The sequence below is a fragment of the Homo sapiens genome, chromosome 3, assembly GCF_000001405.40.
Source record: "Homo sapiens chromosome 3, GRCh38.p14 Primary Assembly".
NCBI lineage: Eukaryota > Metazoa > Chordata > Mammalia > Primates > Hominidae > Homo > Homo sapiens.
Genome location: NC_000003.12, coordinates 150,414,947 through 150,435,490, shown reverse-complemented (window position 1 = coordinate 150,435,490; position 20,544 = coordinate 150,414,947). Strand labels below are relative to the sequence as shown.

The following is a 20,544-nucleotide window of genomic DNA, read 5'->3' as shown; positions in this document are numbered from 1 at the left end:
ACTTAGTTTTAAATGGAGAAAGGGGGGAAACAGGGCAACCCTTTATGTCCTCCAATAAATTACACAGAGTCATTCCATAGGTTATATATATTGAAAAAATAAGCTTTAAAATATCAAAGATAAATTTACTTTAAAAATTAGTACAAATGTACCTAAATAAAATAAAACTGCTAGGAAGACAGTATGTTCCAAAAAATTAACATATAAAAAGGCCGGATGCAGTGGCTCACGCCTGTAATCACAGCACTTTGGGATCCCACAGAGGTGGTGGATCACCTGAGGTCAGGAGTTCAAGAACAGCCTGACCAACATGGAGAAACCCCATCTCTACTAAAAAATACAAAAATTAGGCAGGCATGGTGGTGGGCGCCCGTAATCCCAGCTACTCGGGAGGCTGAGGTAGGAGAATTGCTTGAACCCGGGAGGCAGAGGTTGCAGTGAGCCGAGATCGTGCTATTGCACTCCAGCTTGGGTGACAGAGCAAGACTCCATCTCAAAATAAATAAATAAATAAAAAGACACATATAAAAAGACACATAACACACAATGACAAGAAACTTCATATATCTGTGGTTGAGCCAAGATATAATTTAAGACACAATTAGCTATGCCAGAAACTAAATATATATATGTATACATATATAAGCATATGTACATATATACACATACATATATAAGCATAAGTACATGTATATACACATATATAAAGTGTTTGGTATGTTATGCATTATAGCAAATGCACCTATTGGTAGAAGAAACACCAAATACACAGCTTAAAGAATTTCATTAATACACCTTTGAAAAACAGCTCTAAGAAGACAGGCTATTGGTATTTTTAACATGTTTACTCTCAAATGATTTATACACTTGATCCTTTCAAAGGAGTAGAAACAGCTTAGAAAGAAGGCAAAGGAAAAAGATATTGAAATTAAAGGTAGAGCTCCCTCTAAAAACGGAAAATCAAAGGAAGTGGAAGCCAGTTACATAATACTCAAATATATGTATAATAAGGAACTGCATGCTTTGTTAACAGAAAGCTGAATATTTGGGTTGGACACAGTGGCTCACATGTGTAATCCCAGAACTTTGAGAGGTCAGGGCAGGGTGGATCACTTGAAGCCAGGAGTTTGAGACCAGCCTGGCCAGCGTGCTGAAACCCTGTCTTTATGAAAAATACAAAAATTAGCAGGGCGTGGTGGTGGTGCCTGTAATCCCAGCTACTCGGGAGGCAAGAGAATCACTTAAACCTAGAAGGCAGAGGTTGCAGTGAGCCAACATTGTGCCACTGCATTCCAGCCTGGGTGACAGAGCAAGACTCTGTCCCAAAAAAAAAAAAAACAAAAAACCCTCCTATTTTTTGACTCTGAGCTTAATAATAGCTAACATAAAAGAAATGGAACATTTATTTATACATTTATTTGAGACAGAGTCTCGCTCTGTGGCCCTGGAGCGCAGTGGTGCAATCTCGGCTCCCTGCAACCTCTACCTCGTGGGTTCAAGCAATTCTTGTGCCTCAGCCTCCCAAGTAGCTGGGATTACAGGCATGCACCATCACACCCGGCTAATTTTTGTGTTTTTTGTAGAGATGAGGTTTTGCCATGTTGCCCAGGCTGGACTCAAACTCCTGAGCTCAAGCAATCTGTCCACCTTGGCCTTCCAAAGTGCTGGGATTACAGGCATGAGCCACTGTGCTCAGGAGAAACAGAACTTGTAAAGAAACCATAATATATTATGCTTTTTGAAGAGTTGATACCTCTTATTTCTTGAAACAAAAGTAGTTATGACTACTCTAGAAAAATACATTTAGCAACATTTTCTGGACTAAGTACTATCCAAAATAAAAACAGCTACTGCAAATAAACGCAGAAATTTTCTGAAGACCAACGGTTAGCATCACTGTAAACAGGAGTGTTATCAGCCAGACACTGCAACTCTTTTCCCTCCTTGTTCCCCTTCCGATACTGTGTAGGACTAGGGAAAATATACCTTCTTTATCACCAGGCAGATATGCAGAAAGATGTTTCTGTCTTCTACGACAAAGGTTACATATATTCTGAACATCTTGCTATTGGTAGAAAATACGTAGCTACTATGGATACCACCATTAGCATTGATACTGAAATTACAAATAAAATTCTCAATATGTGGCCACATAAACAGCTGGGGACACTGACAGCCATGCTGTCTGCATACATACTTTAACTTAGTGAAGACACCACTATTTTTGGGCCAAATATCACACAATTAAAAAGTGAAAAATACAATAGCACCTTCCAAATCTTTTAGTATTTATAACCAACAATCTTCAAACTTTGAAACAACTGGGAGATAAACTGGCATAAAAATGTTATTTCTTGAGGATATTTACTAATGGATAAACATTCTAAATTATTATCACTTATTTAAATTTATTTCTGTCAAATATGAAAAATACTTTAGAAGTAGCCAACTAAAGTTTAAACACAGGAGCTAATTTTTGGTAAGCTAAGGCATTTAAAAGCTCTGTATCAATCACAAAAATTTAATATATTCCCTGATTTGAGTAACTTGGAATATTACTATCAGCATGTTTATGCACACAAACAAAAAGAATGTCAGGCTAGAATAGAGTCAGTCATCTCTTTCTTCTACCTCTACCTACCACCCCAAATCTTAATAAAAATAAAAAACTAAAATAATTCCATTAATATTTCTTTCTTCCCAAAAGGTTGCCCAACTGCGGATTTAAATACAACTGAAGAGGTGTGAATTTAAAATTTTAAATTGCTGAGGACTAGAATGGAAAACCAACAACAATGACGAAACCCTAAAAGATGTTCTATGTTTATCCTGGTTCAACAATTCCAGGTTCCTTAAATTTCTTTCTTGTCTGAACAAGTTCAGTTATTTATTATTTTTTTTTTTTAAAAAAAGCTCTTCAATAGAATTTTAGATTCGGTAGAAAAAAATACATCGAATTTGGCGAATTAGTTCACATGTACAAACATACATACACTTTTCTGTTCTATTCAAAGCCTTGGTTTACCTAAAATCTATTTGGTGAAAAGAAAAAAAAAGAATTGAATAAATGAATAAATAAATAAATAATAAAGAGACCTTACCAGCTATTCCCACCTTTTTCAAAACTGTTTCTAAAATTTCACCTGAAAATAATTATCAAAACATCTCAAAATAGGCTGGGGTGACTTAGGTTTAGAAATTTATTAAATAACATATTAAATTTACTAAAGAGGAAGGTGGTAAACATATGGGTGGAAAGCATATATAATGGTGGGTGAGCAGTTAAGAAATAATTTCTCTTTGCCAATTCTGAAACCTGGTAATGTGTCGAAAACAGATGTCAGAATGTTTAGTGTCCCACTTCAGCTAGCCATAGAAAAGCTAAGAGAAGAGATGTTTAGGGTCCAGTGAAACACCACTTCGAATAATGAGATTTAGATTTGTGGTTAAAAATCTCGCAGCAGACAAGCCACCTAACACAACTACCAGAATAAAACTAAGAGGATACAACAGTATATACAGGATAGCAATACATAATTTGCAAACCCAAGTGGTGATGTAAAATGTCTTCAAATTACACTATTTTTTCCAACTCAAAATAATTAAAAGCCCAATTTAATACATACATATAAAAATCACAGTACAGAAAGGGAAGTACATGAATATACTTCAATTTCTAAGGGACACATTAATATCCAAATGTTCTCCTACTCTTGCCACCCACCACCCAACTCTGAGCAATAAAAGACCTCCCCTTATAAAACTTCACCAACTCTAGTAGTCGTTTCAGCTGGATTTTAGGCAGTACTCCCTTGCCTTTCGAATACTCCCAATAGTACAAACTAGCTAAGCAAGTACATTTTTTTCCTAGTATTTTATCCAAAAACATTAATACTGCATTTTTTATTAAATATTTAAATTTTAAATAATCCTTTAGGTGACTAACACAAGTACTTACATATTCAAACAAGACAGGAAGGGAAAAAGACAACTGTTTAATTAAGTATAATTGGTGAACCTATACTGGCTCTTCGAACAGGTTAAAAAATGGTTATGAAGGACATTATTGTAATAACTGACAAAATCTGAATATGCACTGTATATTCATATTTGATAATAGCACATTAATATAAGATACCCTGAATTTGGTAATTATATTGTTGGTAAGAGAATAATCTTCTTAGGAAACATAAGCTGAAGTATCTGAAGTTAAATGGATATGGTATTTCCTATCTACTCTTTTTTTTTTTTTTTTTTTTTTTTTTTGAGACAGAGCCTCACTCTGTCACCCAGGCTGGAGTGCAGTGGCGCGATCTCGGCTCACTGCAAGCTCTGCCTCCTGAGTTCACGCTATTCTCTTGCCTCAGCCTCCCGAGTAGCTGGGACTATAGGTGCCTGCCACCACGCCTGGCTAATTTTTGTATTTTTAGTAGAGATGGGGTTTCACCTTGTTAGTGGTTCCTAAAATAATATGTTAGGATGATAAAGCAAATATGACAAAATGTTAACAAACACTGAATCTTGGTAAGAAGATTGAGTTCTTTGTACTATTCTTGTAATTTTTCTGTAAATTTGAAATTATTTCAAATTAAAGATTCAGACCTTTCTCTTCTTTTTGATTAGAAAATAATATCCTCAGAATGGTCTAATCTCTAAAACCAATCATCCTCTTCAGACTTCCTTCTGTTATCTAAATGCAGGTGGTATTGCCTAAGGTCCTGGCTTGACCCTTTACCCTACTCTAATCCTTGGCAATCTTGGCCTTTCCTAAAGCTTGAACTCTAATAAAACATTCTTAAATCTCAACTAGCTTTAATTTCTATACCAACCTGCAAGTCTGCAGCCTCAGCTGCACCCCAAATATTTTCACCTTGACTTTGTACCAGCTTATCAACTCATCCAAAAAACAGCTAAAAACAAAAACCTCATCACTACTTTCTCCTTCCCAAACTAATTCTTTCACTAATACTTTCTAACAGTACCAGCATTCCCTCAGTCAATTAGGTTTGGCACTTTGGAGTCAAGTTTGACTGCTCCCCTATCATGACCAATCAGTTGTAAAATCCTGTAATTCCTATCTCATCCCCATTGCCTAATTCAGGCTTCAGTACCTTTCTAGAATCTCTGTCTCTAATCTAACTGCTCTCCTCTCCTGTCTTCAAATGTTATACACCTACCAAATTTAACTTTATCCTTATCATATAAGGCCAGTACTTCCATAGTGGTGCACAATATTTCCTCTAACTGGAATGTTCCCTTCCCCTCAGTTCTTTAATTCTGCTTGACCAAATTCTACCCACCTTTCAGTTTCCAACTCAAAAGCCACCTCCTGAAGAAGCTTTGACCAATCCCTCCAGCTGTACTTGAGAGATATGAAGTGCTTACATTTTATATGAGTTATTACTTTCAATCATGTGATAATGTATTTACCATTTTCCATATTAAGACCAAGCTCACTGAAAGCAGTTACTAAATCTTATTGTTTCTTCTAGTATTTAATTATAGGAGAACAAACTTTTGCTGAGTCAGGTAATTGCAAACGTTCCTGGTATTTTCCCTCAGCTTCATTCTGAGTTACTCTAAAAAAGTGAGATTTTTAAGGCTTTAGAATCTTTTGGTTGGAAAAGGTGATCTAAGACCACTGAAGATGGTAACAGGAAAATGCCTTAAATAGCAAGTAACTATAATTGGGGACAAACACGTATTGTTAAAGAGACTACTTTATAATATGACCAGGCATCTAATACTTTACTGAACTTCCCAAGTAGCTTTACAGAACACCATAGGCATGAGTTTCAAACAGTTTTAAGTGGCTTCTTTCATCTTCCATTAAAATCCCAATGACCTACCTTCACTACACTCTACATACAATTTCTTTCTTTCCCACACACTATTCTTATTTCCAGATCAACAAGAATTTGAATTATATTTTGAGAGCATCAATTTCATAACCAAGCATGTGGCTTTTAAAAACTTGGAGACCTGGTTTTCCCTACAGTCCTATGACTATGACCTAGACTGATGCCCATTTATATATATAGTCCATGATTTCTAAATGAAGTTAACCTTAAATTCTGCCAGTCAGTCTGTAATGTGTAGTTATTTTTCTCCATGAGTTACTCTACCTCCCCTTGGCACCTGGGTAGGAAGAATTCACTAGTTTTTAAGATGCTGCTGAAATCATCAGCATGGTGATAACTGGTGCCTAGTTATTTGTGGGGCTTCATTTACCACCACTCCTATGGCAATTCTCATTTCCAAATAAGCTTACTGTCACTCATTTTCTTCTGAGGGAAGCTCCATTGGTTTCTCTATTCAGATCAACATTTACTGCCTCTGACATGGAATTCTTCCCTAAAAAAGCAGAATAGTTTACTACCCTTCCATTCCTTAAGCAAATACACAGCTCTTTAAGGTTTACTGATAATCACAGCCAATAATGACGAAACAGAAGTAAAGGAGTTCAATTCCAATGCTTGTACTTCCATTTAGAAAAGTTGGGGAAATAAAACTCCAGAGTAGGCATTTTAAATGTAACTAAAATTAAATTTCACTTAAAATCAGCATCCCTGGTTAACAGACAGGAAGATAGTTGTATTATTTCTAGTGATGGCAAGACCATTTCCCAAGGGATCTGTTTACTTTTCAGTAAGCTCGCTCAGGCCTGCCTGTTGAAATACCCCTGGATATGCAAATAGAGTATAAAGAAATTTGGTTTTCTAGTTAGTTTTGTATTTAGAACAACTGTTCTGTAGAAATGGAGTACAACAGATTAGTCACCATCATTTCAACATCACCTAAAATCACATTAGTTTTTGTGGCAGCACTGTCACTTGCTAACCAATACTACAAAATGCCATTAACACACATATCTAAGTATGTTTTTTTTTTTTTTTACTATACCCAGTCAACCTAGGTTTCAACCTCCCTGAATTTACATATAAATTCTTCCAATTTCTTGATTTCTGTATTTGTTTCAGTTAAATTTATAAATGCTGTCATTCACAATGGCTATCACTTCCTTGATTTAATGTCATCTGAACATAACCACGCCCTGAGGTTTCCATCTAAATCAGGGATCCAAAAATGAGTTTTAGAGGGAATATATAAAGCTTTCATCCTCTAAGTACCAGTGATTACCTGCCCCTCCTACCCTGGGCCTGCCCCATCCCCCACTTAAGAACTACAAACTAAACTACTGATGAAAACATTTATATATGTGATACGAAAGAGTCCTGTGAGAATAGCAACTGTAGTAAGCACTGCAGAAAAGGTGGAAATTTGTAGGCAATCTTAGTTAACTGACTCTCCACACCAATAAGACCAGACTTGCTACTCCCTATGTTCAATAAAGGAACAGTGCTATGTTACAAATTAAAATGGAAGACACAATGACTAAACACAATGTGGAATCCTGAATTGGATCCTGGAACAGAAAAAGGACACTTACAAAAGTGGAAAACTTGGTAAAATTAAAATAAGATCTGTAGTTTAGTTAATAGTATTCTATCAATGTTAACTTCCTAACTTTGATAATTGTACTAAGGTTGTACAACATGTTAACATTAAGGGAGGCTAGGTAAAGGACATACAAGAAGCCTCAGCACTATTTTTGCAACTTTAAATCTAAAATATTTCAGATTAAAAAGTAAAATAAAAGGAAGGAAGGAGAGGAAGAGAAGAAGAAAGGAAGGAGGAAATGAAGTAAGGAAAGAGGGAGGGAGGGAGGAAGAATAAAAGGTGACAATCATTAAAAAGCTATGCTATAATTTTTAGCTTCTTGTACTATCCTCTACTAGATGTCTTTTAGTGGAACAGGTTGAAATATAATCAGATAATAAATTATGTAAGTACTAGGTACAAATTAGTAAGGAATATATTGGGGTTGGTCACAAAATGGTTCAGGTACATATCCTCAAGATACTTATGCATAATCACTAGGAGAGAACATTTAACCAATACCAATCTCCAACAAATAAGCTACTTGAGTGATTCTTTAAAATTATATAGTCCACATCTACAACTATGCAGAACCATACAGATGAATCTCAAATACAATACTGGATGAAAGAGGTCAGACACAAAACACATAGTGTATGGTCCTACATATATAACACATTAGAAATTAGGATTGGGAGGGGAAGTGACTGATGGGGGGCATGAAGAGGACATGAAAGGGGCTTATAATATTCTATGTATTGATCTGGGTGCTGCCCACACAGGTGTGTTCAATTTGAGCTATACATTTATGAATGGTGCACTTTTCCGATACAAATTATACTTCAATAAAAAAATTTTACAAGTCCTATCACCAAGCATTCAAAAACTAGATCAGCTAAGTTGCATAACTTGAGTTTTACCATTTGGGATAACAAGTACTGGTGGATGTTAATGATGGACCCAAGATTCTTAGAGATGAGCAAAACAAAATAAATTGTCTCATATGGTACCAATGGTATTTATGACATAAACAGCTTAGTTCTAATTTATTCCTAGCTTCAAAAAAAAATCTCATAGGAAACAATGATAGGAAATACTGGAAGGCGTTCCCTACACAAAATACTTGAGGCTATTTAAATAAGAAGACTTTTTTTATCCAATAATTTTAAAATTAGAGGTAATAAGTGAATAATCACTGTAGAAAACAATTTGAGAGATCATCAATTATCTAGTAAAAAAATTTAGGATAAACTTACTAGACTTTCATTTTAAGTTAATAACCCATGTCTACTACTTTCCTTATTAACTTCTCTCTAAATACTGGTGCTATCATAAGGACAGACAAGCAGACTCAAGGGGATGTACACCTAGCAACTGTTCTCTCACTTGTTTTAAGTACATTTATGCATTTCTTAATGAAGACAAAAGCCCTGCAAGTGCTTATCGATGAGGTTAAAGCCTTACAAGCTACCTGATTTCTTCCTTTAGTCTAGCTGAAGTTTCTTCCCCTTAGTACTCCTTTACTTTAGTGACCTGGTATTTAGAAGAGGGTAAAATTGTTTGCTATAAACCCTTACGCTGAGCTTTTGTAAACAAAGGACTCCCAATGAGAACCTGCTTGCCGCTCCCCAGTGATCATCAGGATAGGTTTCTAAACTAATTCTGCCAATTTAACAAAGCAATGCCAAGTATTAACTTTGGAAAACTGTTCTTTAGAAAATAGGAAGTCAAATTTTAAAGTTACTATTCTCAAATGCCAGTAGGCTTAGGATCTCAGGAAAAATTAACTCCTCCATAGTAAGATAATCTCCCAGAAAGCTAACTATGTAAGTTATAGTATTTATTTTAATAAAGAGTCAACTCAAAACAGTTTGGGCTACTGCAGAAAGGGTTGGATTATTTTTGCGTTATCAGTATCTACTGTCCCTACATTTGAAGATGGTTCAGCTGATTGATTCCCTGAGGGCTCTGCAAATGGCAAACAGAGAAGACAGAAACCATGATGGCACCTACAGAAAAAGGGAAAGGAAGACTTGAGGGTAGCTTCAATTTTAGTACAATAACTGAGTAAAGCACTGGATATAAATGGAAGGAGAAATATCTAAATATAGGCAGAGGCAGGCTGCTTGGTGAAAAGTCTATTAATTTGCCAATTCTAATTTAAATATGGAAGGAAACAAAGGGGCCATTAGAGAACTTTAAGTCAATATGAGAAAGGTATATTAGTTACTTACATTTTGATTAAAAGATATTCTGCTAAACTGAAAGATTCCTGAGGAAAAAAGGAGATTCTTGTCTTTCTAGTTAGACAAAATCAAACTAGGGATATTCAGCTATTTAGGGTAGGTCTACTGAAAATGGGCACTTAAAAGCTGCCCCTACTGAAAATGATTTCCAACATTTCATAAATAGGAGCCTAAAATCTGTTATCTAGTAATAGCGAGACAAATTTATGCCTCAAAATAAATAGATAATGTAGAAGATAACGTTAGGGACTTGCAGTCCCTTAAACTTCCAAATATCTTTTTCTTTTTGAGATGGAGTTTCGCTCTTGTCACCCAGGTTGGAGTGCAATAGCGCAATCTCAGCTCACTGCAACCTCCGCTTCCCAGGTTTAAGCAATTCTCCTGCCTTGGCCTCCCGAGTAGCTGGCATGTGCCACCATACCCAGCTAATTTTTGTATTTTTAGTAGAGATGGGGTTTCACCATGTTGACCAGGCTGGTCTCGAACTTCTGACCTCAGGTGATCCACTTGCCTCAGCCTCCCAAAGTGCTGGGATTACAGGCGGGAGCCACTGCGCCCAGTCTATGTCTCTCTTTAATAGGAGAATCACCCCTGCCAAATACCTATTTGCCAAATTAGTAGTAAAATAAAAAAAAAATCCTAAATTTATAATAGTAAAAATGAACAATGTGATTTGGTGATTTCCAGAACAATCAAGGTCAGAAGTTATATTTAATATTTTTTAAAGCTTAACACACACAAATCTTCAACCCATTTGGAATAAACGGTCTCATGATACTTTATTAGCTGATATACCTATCAGTAATTCTGTAGATAGTTGCCAACTGAAAGTGTAGACTATTAAAACTAATAAAGTTAGCCATGATTGCTCCTCTCAATGGAAAATTTAATAAGCTAGTTGAAAAGTTAAAAGAAAGCCACTAGTCAGTTTCCATTGGGTTGGCCTTGTCACCTTAGTACCAACGAGGCCAACTTACAGTGAAGAATGGCTGATCTGATTATATTTTGATTTTATTATATTTTGGCATTAACACACTACAGACAAATATCCACTAACTTCTTTGGCTCTGAACAACAGGCTCCAAGGAGGAGAGAAAATAAATATTTTCAACCCATGAGAAACCATAGATACGCAACTTGCCTCATTTCTGATACCTTAAAAGTTTCAGGTATCTAAAAAAAGAAAACATATAAGGAGTATTTAGCTGTAACAACAAATGATGTACAGGCAACTTCTATGGTGGTTTTATTATGAAACAAAATAAACCTTTCAATATCATATTCAAATTATCAAAAATATAGCTCAAACCTTCCTACACTGATAAAAATAATATATATCATTCACATCAACATCATGACAGCTCAAAGTTAGCTATTTGAAATAAATCATCATACTTTTGAAAGCTACTCTTATTACATTTCTAAACAGAGTGCTATTTTTCCTTTTTCTAAGAGAAACTATAAAGCATACCCCAAAGTACTCACATTCTGGCTACATTTGGAAAACTATTTGAAAGATTAAACCTTCATGTTTATCTCATCTCACAATTTACATTTATGTATTAATTTAAATGGCTACAGAACTATTTAAAAATTTATTTTATAAACATGGTACTACAAATTTTAAAACTTCCTGTTCTAAAAGTAACTATTTAAAAAGATTTCTGGAACACACCATCAAAAAGATACTGTTAGAAAATTTCCCTAGAGTGACACACACAAGCAAATCAAGCCGAAGAATTAAGACTGTTTTAGCATTTCTAGGCAATGTGTATCATGTCTTAATATGACATGTACATGCACTTAGCAATACTCTTTTCTAATGAAAGAGATGGAGTTGAGTTCATGAGTGTTATCCAAAACTATGCCAGAAGACACAAATGCGTTGCCAGGCAGAGTTAAAAGAATCTAACGAGCTTTGTGTGAATTTTAAAAACATTGTTTGAACTCAACTTCTATTAATTAAACACAAAGTGATGGAATGCTAATAAATATTCAGCAAAACGATTGAACAGAGCATACACTACTTAAAATGTGTGTTAAGCAGAAAGATAAACCAAAGTATCTTTTGCCATAAAAGAACTCCAAGACTTCATTCTGTATTTTTAAAAGTTAACAGTAAAATCTATACAACATTTCTGTAAGAAAGCAAACTGTTTTAGGGGCTTACAAATCAGTAATGCAGACCTAGTGAATTCTAGCAAACAAACTTGAAGTTAAAGTTTCTTGCCAAAAATTAAACAATGATTACTTTGATACCTTGGTCTTGTTCCTCCTCCAATTTCATAATTTGAAATAACATTTTGCTTTGAATCACTATGGCTTTTACAGAAAAAAAACATAAAATAGCACAAAAATTAAAATATAGTTTATTTTATAGAATATGCATTTGCATTAAAATACACTGGGGAAGTGACTATTTCATAAGAAAAATTCAACACAGTATGAACCCTTCAAAAATATAGATATACTTAAAGTACACAGGATGCAGAAAAGTATGTTTATTTTCTATATAAAATAGAGATTGTCCTTTTGGTTTATTTTGCTGCTTTGTCCCATGCTAGATACCATGTGATTTCCCCCCTAAAATAACAAAGATCAGTTTTAATGAGAAACCAGTACAGTGCAAAGCAATTCATGCATACAGTTTTGCATGTATGCATTCCATATGTAAGTATTCATACCTATCCCAGAGGCTCTTTGATTCCTTTAACGTGTTCAAATGGAACGCTTGGTAGAAAGCAGTTGAAGGATTCCTGTGAGATCCGAGAATCAAATGGAAATGAGGTTGAGAACGTACAGTATAATCACTACTTTTCAAAAGAAGATGGAAGATTTTAGATTTCTAATACAGTGTAACTTTTAATAATAAAAAGATTTTAAAACCACATAAGTTTGCTTAAAACAACACTTTAGAAGAAATTAAAAACTGGACAAAATCCAGCAGACTTCAACAATAATTCAGGATCACAGTTATAAAATAAAGAGGTAAGGCAGATGAAACTAAATACTAAGTAGCATCCAATTTTGTGTGCGTGCATATAAATGTGACAAATTCATAGCCTAATCAACACTCTTCTATATCAAATGCCTTTACAAATATCTATCTTGTTTAGCAGTTTAACAAGGCTGTTCTTAGGTATTCATATAAACTAAGTTAAGCTATATCTTCACAATATAAAAACTTTTCTTAGGCTCTGTTAAAAGTAGCAAAGGTTTGATTAACAATGAAGAATTCTTTCCTGGGTTGGACTTGACACATTTCCACCTTCAAAATCCATTTATTTATATGTGTTTTTTCCTCGTCTAGGGCAAAAAATGGCGCTGCAATTGTTTGGCAGCTTTCTGATTCTAGCATTGGTACAATGTTACTTTAGGGGTAAAAGCCTATTTATCATAATTATCTTTCATTTCTACCATTCCCTAGGGCTTTCACCATAGACTCTTAACTGATGGGCTCTTCTGGACTATCTCCCAGTAAGTATGATTCACCTCAAATCTAGGGACTGGTTCCACGGGGATTTAAACTTTTGACAAACCTGTTCCCTCCTCCTCAGCAACTTCCATAGTCTCCCCCACCTTCAACCTGTACATCTGGAAGCCAAAAAAACTTTGCCACATAACTTTTAAAATTCTTAGCCCATGCTGTAGCAGAACAGCAGCAGTTAAGAATGTGTTTATTAGGTACCACACACTATTCTAAGTGCTTTACACTCATTAACTAAATTCTGACAACAGCCCTAAGAGGTAGGCACCATTATTACTCCCATCTCATAGAGGAGAAAACTGGGTCAGATAGAAGTAACTTGCCTTACATCACTGAGCTAGTAGGTGGCAATCTAGTTCCAGAGTTTATGCTCTTAAACCACTACACTAAACACATAGCAGTGTTAAAGTTTGACCTCTTTAAAAGTCTGTCTCTTTATCTGTTAACTGGTTACATTACTACCTAGCTTTGCAGGCTAAAGAACTGAGACTAAATGTAAAGTTCCTGGCATACAGTGAATCATCAATAGCATTATTTTAATCTACAAAATGAGGTTTAGATACAACATGGCAATTCTGGGGTCCTATTAAGAGCCTTAAAGTCTGTGCAGAATTATTAGTACAATAAAAAAAAAAGACTTCCAAGATGCCAGAGAATCACCAAAGTAACTGTTTGATTAATTAGGAGACTAATACGTGTATTTCTCATTGCTTGCCCTACTTCAACTCCTTTCTATTCTTTTAATCCTTTTTCCACTTTTCTCCTAACTAGGTCTAAGGCAATCAAAGGCACTGATTAGACCTGCTAATAACAAGAAAAGCTTAAGAGGCTTCTACCTACTGTTTATTTAACGGCTTACATCCTCTTAAGATGTATTTGTCAGGCCACTTTTTTCGCTGTACTTAGAAGTCAGTCTGCCAAATCAAATGAAAACTAACTGAACCAATTGAACATTCAATCTGGTTTTTTTTTTGGTTGTTGTTTTTGTTTTATAAAAAAACAGGCTTGCCCAGGAACATATGGGAACTAGTTTGCTATCCTCAAAGGTCTGTTTGGAGACCTCCAGTTTAAATGGAGTGACTCAAAGAGGAAGGTAGTATATACAAAAGAATAAGAAAGAGTATCTTGGAAGTTATTCTGCAAGTCTACAATTCAAAATTCATTAAAGAGTACTCACAATATATTTATAAGGATGATATTCTTTAAAAGAACTTTATTATTTATTTATTTTTTGGAGACAGAGTTTCACTCTTGTCGCTCAGGCTGGAGTGCAATGGCACAATCGCGGCTCACTGCAACCTCTGCCTCCTGGGTTCAAATGATCCTCCCGCCTCAGCCTCCCGAGTAGCGGGGATTACAGGCTCCCACCACCACGCGCAGCTAATTTTTGGTATTTTTAGTAGAGATGGGGTTTCACCACGTTGGCCAGGCTGGCCTCAAACTCCTGACCTCAGGTGATCTGCCCGCCTCGGCCTCCCAAAGTGCTGGGATTACAGGCATGAGCCACCACACCTGGCATCTTTAAAAGACCTTTAGATCCTCTGACTTTGGAAATACAAATATTTAATTTGAATCAAATTCATATTCCAGGTAAATTGGTTCCAAATGAAGTCATATGACTTGTTATAAAATTCCAGCAGTTTTACAGAATAGTGCAATATCTCTTAAGTCAAATGTAAAGGTGAAAAACGAACATATTTGTAGTTAGTAGTAAATACTGGGATGTGGAAAGAACCTGTGAAATAAAATACTGTATAAATGGACCTAAAGTTTTCAGCACATATTAGAATACACTTAATTTGCAAAAGCTAACAATTAACAATCACTCTTTCTACATACATTCAAAGTGAAGAAGCCACAGTACATGGTTTTCTATAGTACACAGTTACACAATCTATGTACTACATAAAACTTTAAACAGTCTAGATTTTAAGGGTAAAAATTTAGATAGTCTTATAAGCTATGAAATTTTGTTTCTGGGATACTATAACTGGGATGTTATCCATAAACTGAGGGGTTTGTAGCAAACAGCAACAATAATTAGTCTCCAAACACTGACTAACAGATTAAAGGAGTCAAGTCTGTGAAATCACTGATCAAGGAAGTAGAAGGGAAAAGAGCCATCTGTAAAGATTGAAAGGCTTGATCATCAGAGAGACTTCTATTTTGGAATGGCATAAAATTGAGGAGATTAAGAGCCCAAGGAAAAGGCTGTTAATGGGATCATTTCAAGGTTACAGTCCATGAAACCTGAAAGCATGAAGAGGCAACTGAAATTAAAAATTTTATTAGAAGGAAATACTGACTTTTTATGCAGCTGTGGTCACAAATTCTCTTCCACTCAAGAAATAAAATTTGAAACCAGCTTTTTAACAGTTTATTTGATATTAATATAAACTACCATTCTAAATATAGAGCCAACGAAGCAATTCTAGGAAGACTGAGATGTGGTTTACACTGTACTTCAGCCACCTAAACAAAAATGCTGTTTTCCTATTTGTAAATATTCTTTAACATCACTGAACAAAATACATTCTTTTCTCTCTGACTTTATATACTCAATAGTCCATCACATTAATTTCCAAGTATGTGAAAATACTACATCAGAAAATGACTCAAAGCATGTGGCATGTCTACCTGTTTTTGCAAGACACTATCTTTGTAGGGTAACTAAGTACAACAGGGAGAAAAAAACAAACATTCCATACCTCAAAACTAAGCTACAAAAATTGTCAAAGCTTAAAGCATAAGGTACTTGAGCACTCAACAAACACCTCTTTCTCTTAATCTATGCCAAAATTCGACTTCAGAGATCTCTAAATAGAAACCAGGGACATACAATATGAAGAACATCAACAAGCACCATCTCCAGTATTATTATCTGGGGAATTTAAATGATTAAAAAAATCCTTTAGGTAAAGGGTTACAATACAACAAATCAGTGGCTATGGTAGTTCTTCCTTCTTCCTAACTTATTGTGTGCCAAGTAATAAAACAAACTTCTAACTCTGGGAATATTCAAAAGCACTGGCTTTAGGTTAAAGGTCTGAATATGAGTCTAGGCTTTGTCACCCAATACCTAGGTGACTCAAATTTTAAGAGTCTCAGTTTCCTTAATCCATAAGAAAGGGGGAAGGGAAGAAACCACTTTCTTACAAATTGTTGGAAAGATCAAATGAAAGTCTATATACATAGGACCTGACACAAGTAAGCTTGCTTTGTGTTTAATATAAGGTTAGTTTCCAAATTATGCTACCTATAAATCAAATTTTGGTAGAGTATCTCAACATGTACCAAATGTTCTGACATTATCAAGGTAATATTGAGGGAAACAGAATACTTAAACTTAGAGCCAGGGGTACCAAAATATTTAGCACATTTCATTAGGTAAGAATTCTGATTTTTGGGACTCAGCGCTCTGAAGGTATTCCCTTAACACAGCTTTATCATAAGATTATAATTTAAAATGCAATAATCACTAAAAGGATACTGAAATCGTTTCAAGATATATATTATTTTAACAATAAAAGCTTCCAGAAATACCTTTAACAGCAACTTACTATAAAAATCGAAATTTCTTACCATGACATTTAAAGTCCTTCACTCTGGTTCTTGTCAAATTAACAATACCATTTTCCAAATGATAGATTCTCACTCTTTCACATCATTATACAAACTGCCTTTTACCTCTGCTTGGAAAACTATCCCCTTCTCTTCTTAGTGACTTAATCTGAATGACCATTTTAAGATTTAGTTCAAGAGTTAGCCTCAAAAGAATGTACAAGTAATAATGGGTTACTTCTAAGGACAAACAGGGTGGCTGGAGGACAGAGGTAGCAGAGAGGCTTTCGATTTTACTCTTTTATATATTTTGAGTTTTGAACTATATAAATACCTATGCAGAGAATAATTTTTAAATAGAAGTCAGTCTACTACCCTCCCAATCCCAATCTGATCTGATGTCTCAAATTGTTCCCATTAGCACCTTATATTACTCCATCACCACCTCCAATGTATGTCAAAGTATACATCTGATCATCATTTTCATGATGATGAAAATGCCTGAGATCTAGGAGGGCAGCATAGTCTCATATTTGTATTCCAGTGCTCACTACTCACAGAGCATCATGAAAGCTGAATGACTGATAAGCTGTTTTAAATGTTTTCTTGGGCAATCAACCTACTTAATGAGTATTTACAAACTTCATTTATTGCCACACAATAGTCAAGTGGCAGGAAAGGGGTAAAAAGAAGAAAGTTTAAGTTTGCAGTTCTCTCATGAAGCACACTTGAATGTATGGTCTCATATACATAAGGCTAGAAGGAATCTTAAAATTTGACAAAGTCTCAAAAAAGAAAAACAGACAAGTGAAATGACTTGACCAAAGAAACCAGCTAAATGATAGAAGAGCCAGGACTGGAACACAATTCCCTATACTTCTTACAACATCATGACTCGTCTAGACTAAAACATCATCTCCTTTTTTCTGACTACATCCATACCATACAATTACGCTTTCATATTAAAATGGAAGATTCTTGGTATGATTTATAACATGTAAAGGGGTGATCTGGGAGAGCAGTTTGGACACTGAAATATTAACATTTCTGTGATACACGTTTGCCACATATATTATGTTACAGACTGTTCAAATTACTTGCACACATCATTTAATTCCTTAAAACTCTCCCAGGTAGGTACAATCCCCATTTTTCATAAGAGGAAACAAGGCATCTACACCAACTAGCTCAAAGTCAAATGTAGCAGTTAGATTTTAGCCCGGGTATGTCTGACTCTACTGTCTCTGTAATGGTCATTCACATATGTTAACACATAATTAAACACGCTATTGGTTTTATTTGATCAAAACAGCTCCTCCCTCCTTTGTTTTGTCTTCAAAGACTAGGTAGACGGTATGCCAAGCAAAGATTTGTTTTGCTTTAACATATAAAACCACTTGATAAAAACTAAATACTAACTCTACTTTAGAAACTAGAGGCTTTACACTTACCTTTGGGAATCCTTTATTCAGATTAAATTATATACTTGTGTAATAAGATGAACAGCCTAAAACTAACATTTAAAACTATGCCATCATTATTTACAATAATTGACACATTAATCACAAACTCCATCTTCTACAAAGCAATATTCTTTAGACAAATTTTAGGAAAGGCTTATGGGAAAAGAAGCTTTAAGTAATTTAACATTTAGACTTTACTTATTTGTCCTGCCTACCCTAATAATAGGTATATGTCCCAGGCAAACACTAATAAAATTAACTCAGTTACCTGCAGAACTTTCACTAACATCACAAATAAATGTACTACTTAAAAGGATGGAAGCACTTTTTCTTTTTAAACAAAAATTAGCTTGGGTACAAAGGAATCAAACTAAATACTAAATACTAATTATTTAAGTCTGATTTGAGGCTTTAAATTTGAGATAAGCAATCCAGATGAAATTTAATTCACCTGATTTAAGAGCAGAAATCATGCAATACTTTCATACAGGAAACAATCCATCAATATACCTTTAATATTATTAAACCAAATCTGAAGAGTATACCTCAAAGTATACTTCCTAAAGTCATGGAATAATGTATAGGAATGGTGCAAACTGGCTACTGTTCCTACCTTTTTATGAGGGACACCCAGTTTTTGCCCTAAGCAATGCCAGATTAAGAATATAACAAATATCGAGTAATTTGATATGTTCAAGAATTGCTGTGGGAAAGACATTATACCAATGATTCAGGTATACATATTCTCTGTGGACTCAATACAATACCATCGAAAACAGTAGCCTCAAATCACAAGCCCACTGGTTTAGTATAAAGAAAAACCATACACTTAAATAATTTATTCTAATTTAGGAGTTTTGCTACACATACTCCTTAAATATGATTAATATTTCTTACCAAAAATCTGCTTTTCCAATTTAAGGAATTACTTACGGAATATCATTCAGGCTATGTTTAACCAGACAGACCTGCTTTTGTAAGGCCTCTCCTTCCTCATACTTTAAGTATTTAACGAGTAATGCAATTAAGAAATAAACAGAATCTTCAGAAAAGGAAATACACACTGGACTAAAACAATTCTTCAAAGAAAGAATTAGAACACCATTCCTCAGTATTCACAAGTGTTCCTATTTCTTTTGAGACTATATTTCATGCCACTCCACTGTACTTTCTTCCATTTTGATTATCTGCTATCATTCTACACTTCCCCTTCCCCAACTCCTGCCATTTTAGGAAAGGAAGGTCAGATTCCTTTTATACTTTCCTAACTACCATTCCTTTATTAGGAAACAGATTTATTTGGGTTTCTCTACTACTTGATTGGTGGGGCTGCTATTTGTTCATAACTGCTTCTGATCTTTTCTGGTGCAGAGAAAGATAGACTCCCATTCCTAATTAGGAAGTACCAGATTCATAGATCCAGTACCATATTTCACTATTTCCAAATTAGTGCTATCAGAATTATTTTTTTTCTTTTTACAGACAGGTCCTTGCTGTGTGGCCCAGGCTTCAGTGCAATATTATAATATAGCTCACTGTAGCCTCCAGCTCCTGGGCTCAAGCAATCCTCCTCCTACAGCCTCCCCAAGTAGCTAAGACTATAGGTGTTGGCCTCCAGACCTGGCTAATTTTTAAATGTTTTGTAGAGACAAAGCCTCGCTATGTTGCCCAGGCTGGTCTCCAACTCCTGGCATCAAGCAATCCTCTGACCTTGGTCTCTCAAAGTGCCAGGATTACAAGGCATGAGCTACCGCTCCTGGCCCAGGATTCTTAAATAACAAATGAATTGGCATTATATTTATTCTCAGGAAGTAGAGGACATATATACCCCTACCACCAGTCCTATATAAAATGACTTCTCATAAAGGTGATTTAGTTCAGGGGTTGTGATCTCCTAAAAAGAAAAAACAAGTGTTACTAAAATAGTCAGCTGGAAATCTGTATTATTCACACACATATAAGCCATCATGTTTTCTAAAAAAATTTACCAATGTTTGGCCTATATGATTTAGTGCACATAAAATTTTATACAGTATGTGTCACTGTGAATATAAAAGGCCACACTCCTACAGATATAGCTCATGGTTTAGGAATTTCGGGTAGTTTGGAAAATCGTAAGCCTTTTTGGAAATCTGTCATTTCTTTTATTTCAAGCCACGTTTATGAATAAAGTATGTTTTAGTAATCCATGTGGTATCCATCAGTAATCCCTGATGAATACATCAGTATCAGTTTTTATGCTAAACAATAATGACACATATATACGAATTTACATTTTTACTACTAACTCCTCAGTAAGAACACTCTTAAACGTGTAGATAGGCATAGGATAGTATCTAGTATGTGA

At 35.0% G+C, this 20,544-nt stretch overlaps 1 protein-coding gene across 6 annotated transcripts in view; it reads right to left on the bottom strand.

The window, feature by feature from the left end:
* Positions 1-20,544, bottom strand: part of TSC22D2 (TSC22 domain family member 2) — a 58,125-nt gene that overhangs the window by 30,932 nt on the left and 6,649 nt on the right. For 3 of the 6 annotated variants that reach the window (NR_130136.2, XR_007095779.1, NM_014779.4), the window contains exon 2: positions 12,371-12,442. The exons of 2 other annotated variants lie outside the window; for them this stretch is intronic. Coding sequence is in view for 2 of the 4 variants with exons in the window: in NM_014779.4 (NP_055594.1) it covers positions 12,371-12,442 (72 nt within the window). In the remaining 2 variants the exon portion in view is untranslated. Of the gene's footprint in view, positions 1-12,039; positions 12,270-12,370; positions 12,443-20,544 lie in introns of those variants that run through there. One more of the 6 variants, XM_011513337.4, reaches the window with a different exon arrangement.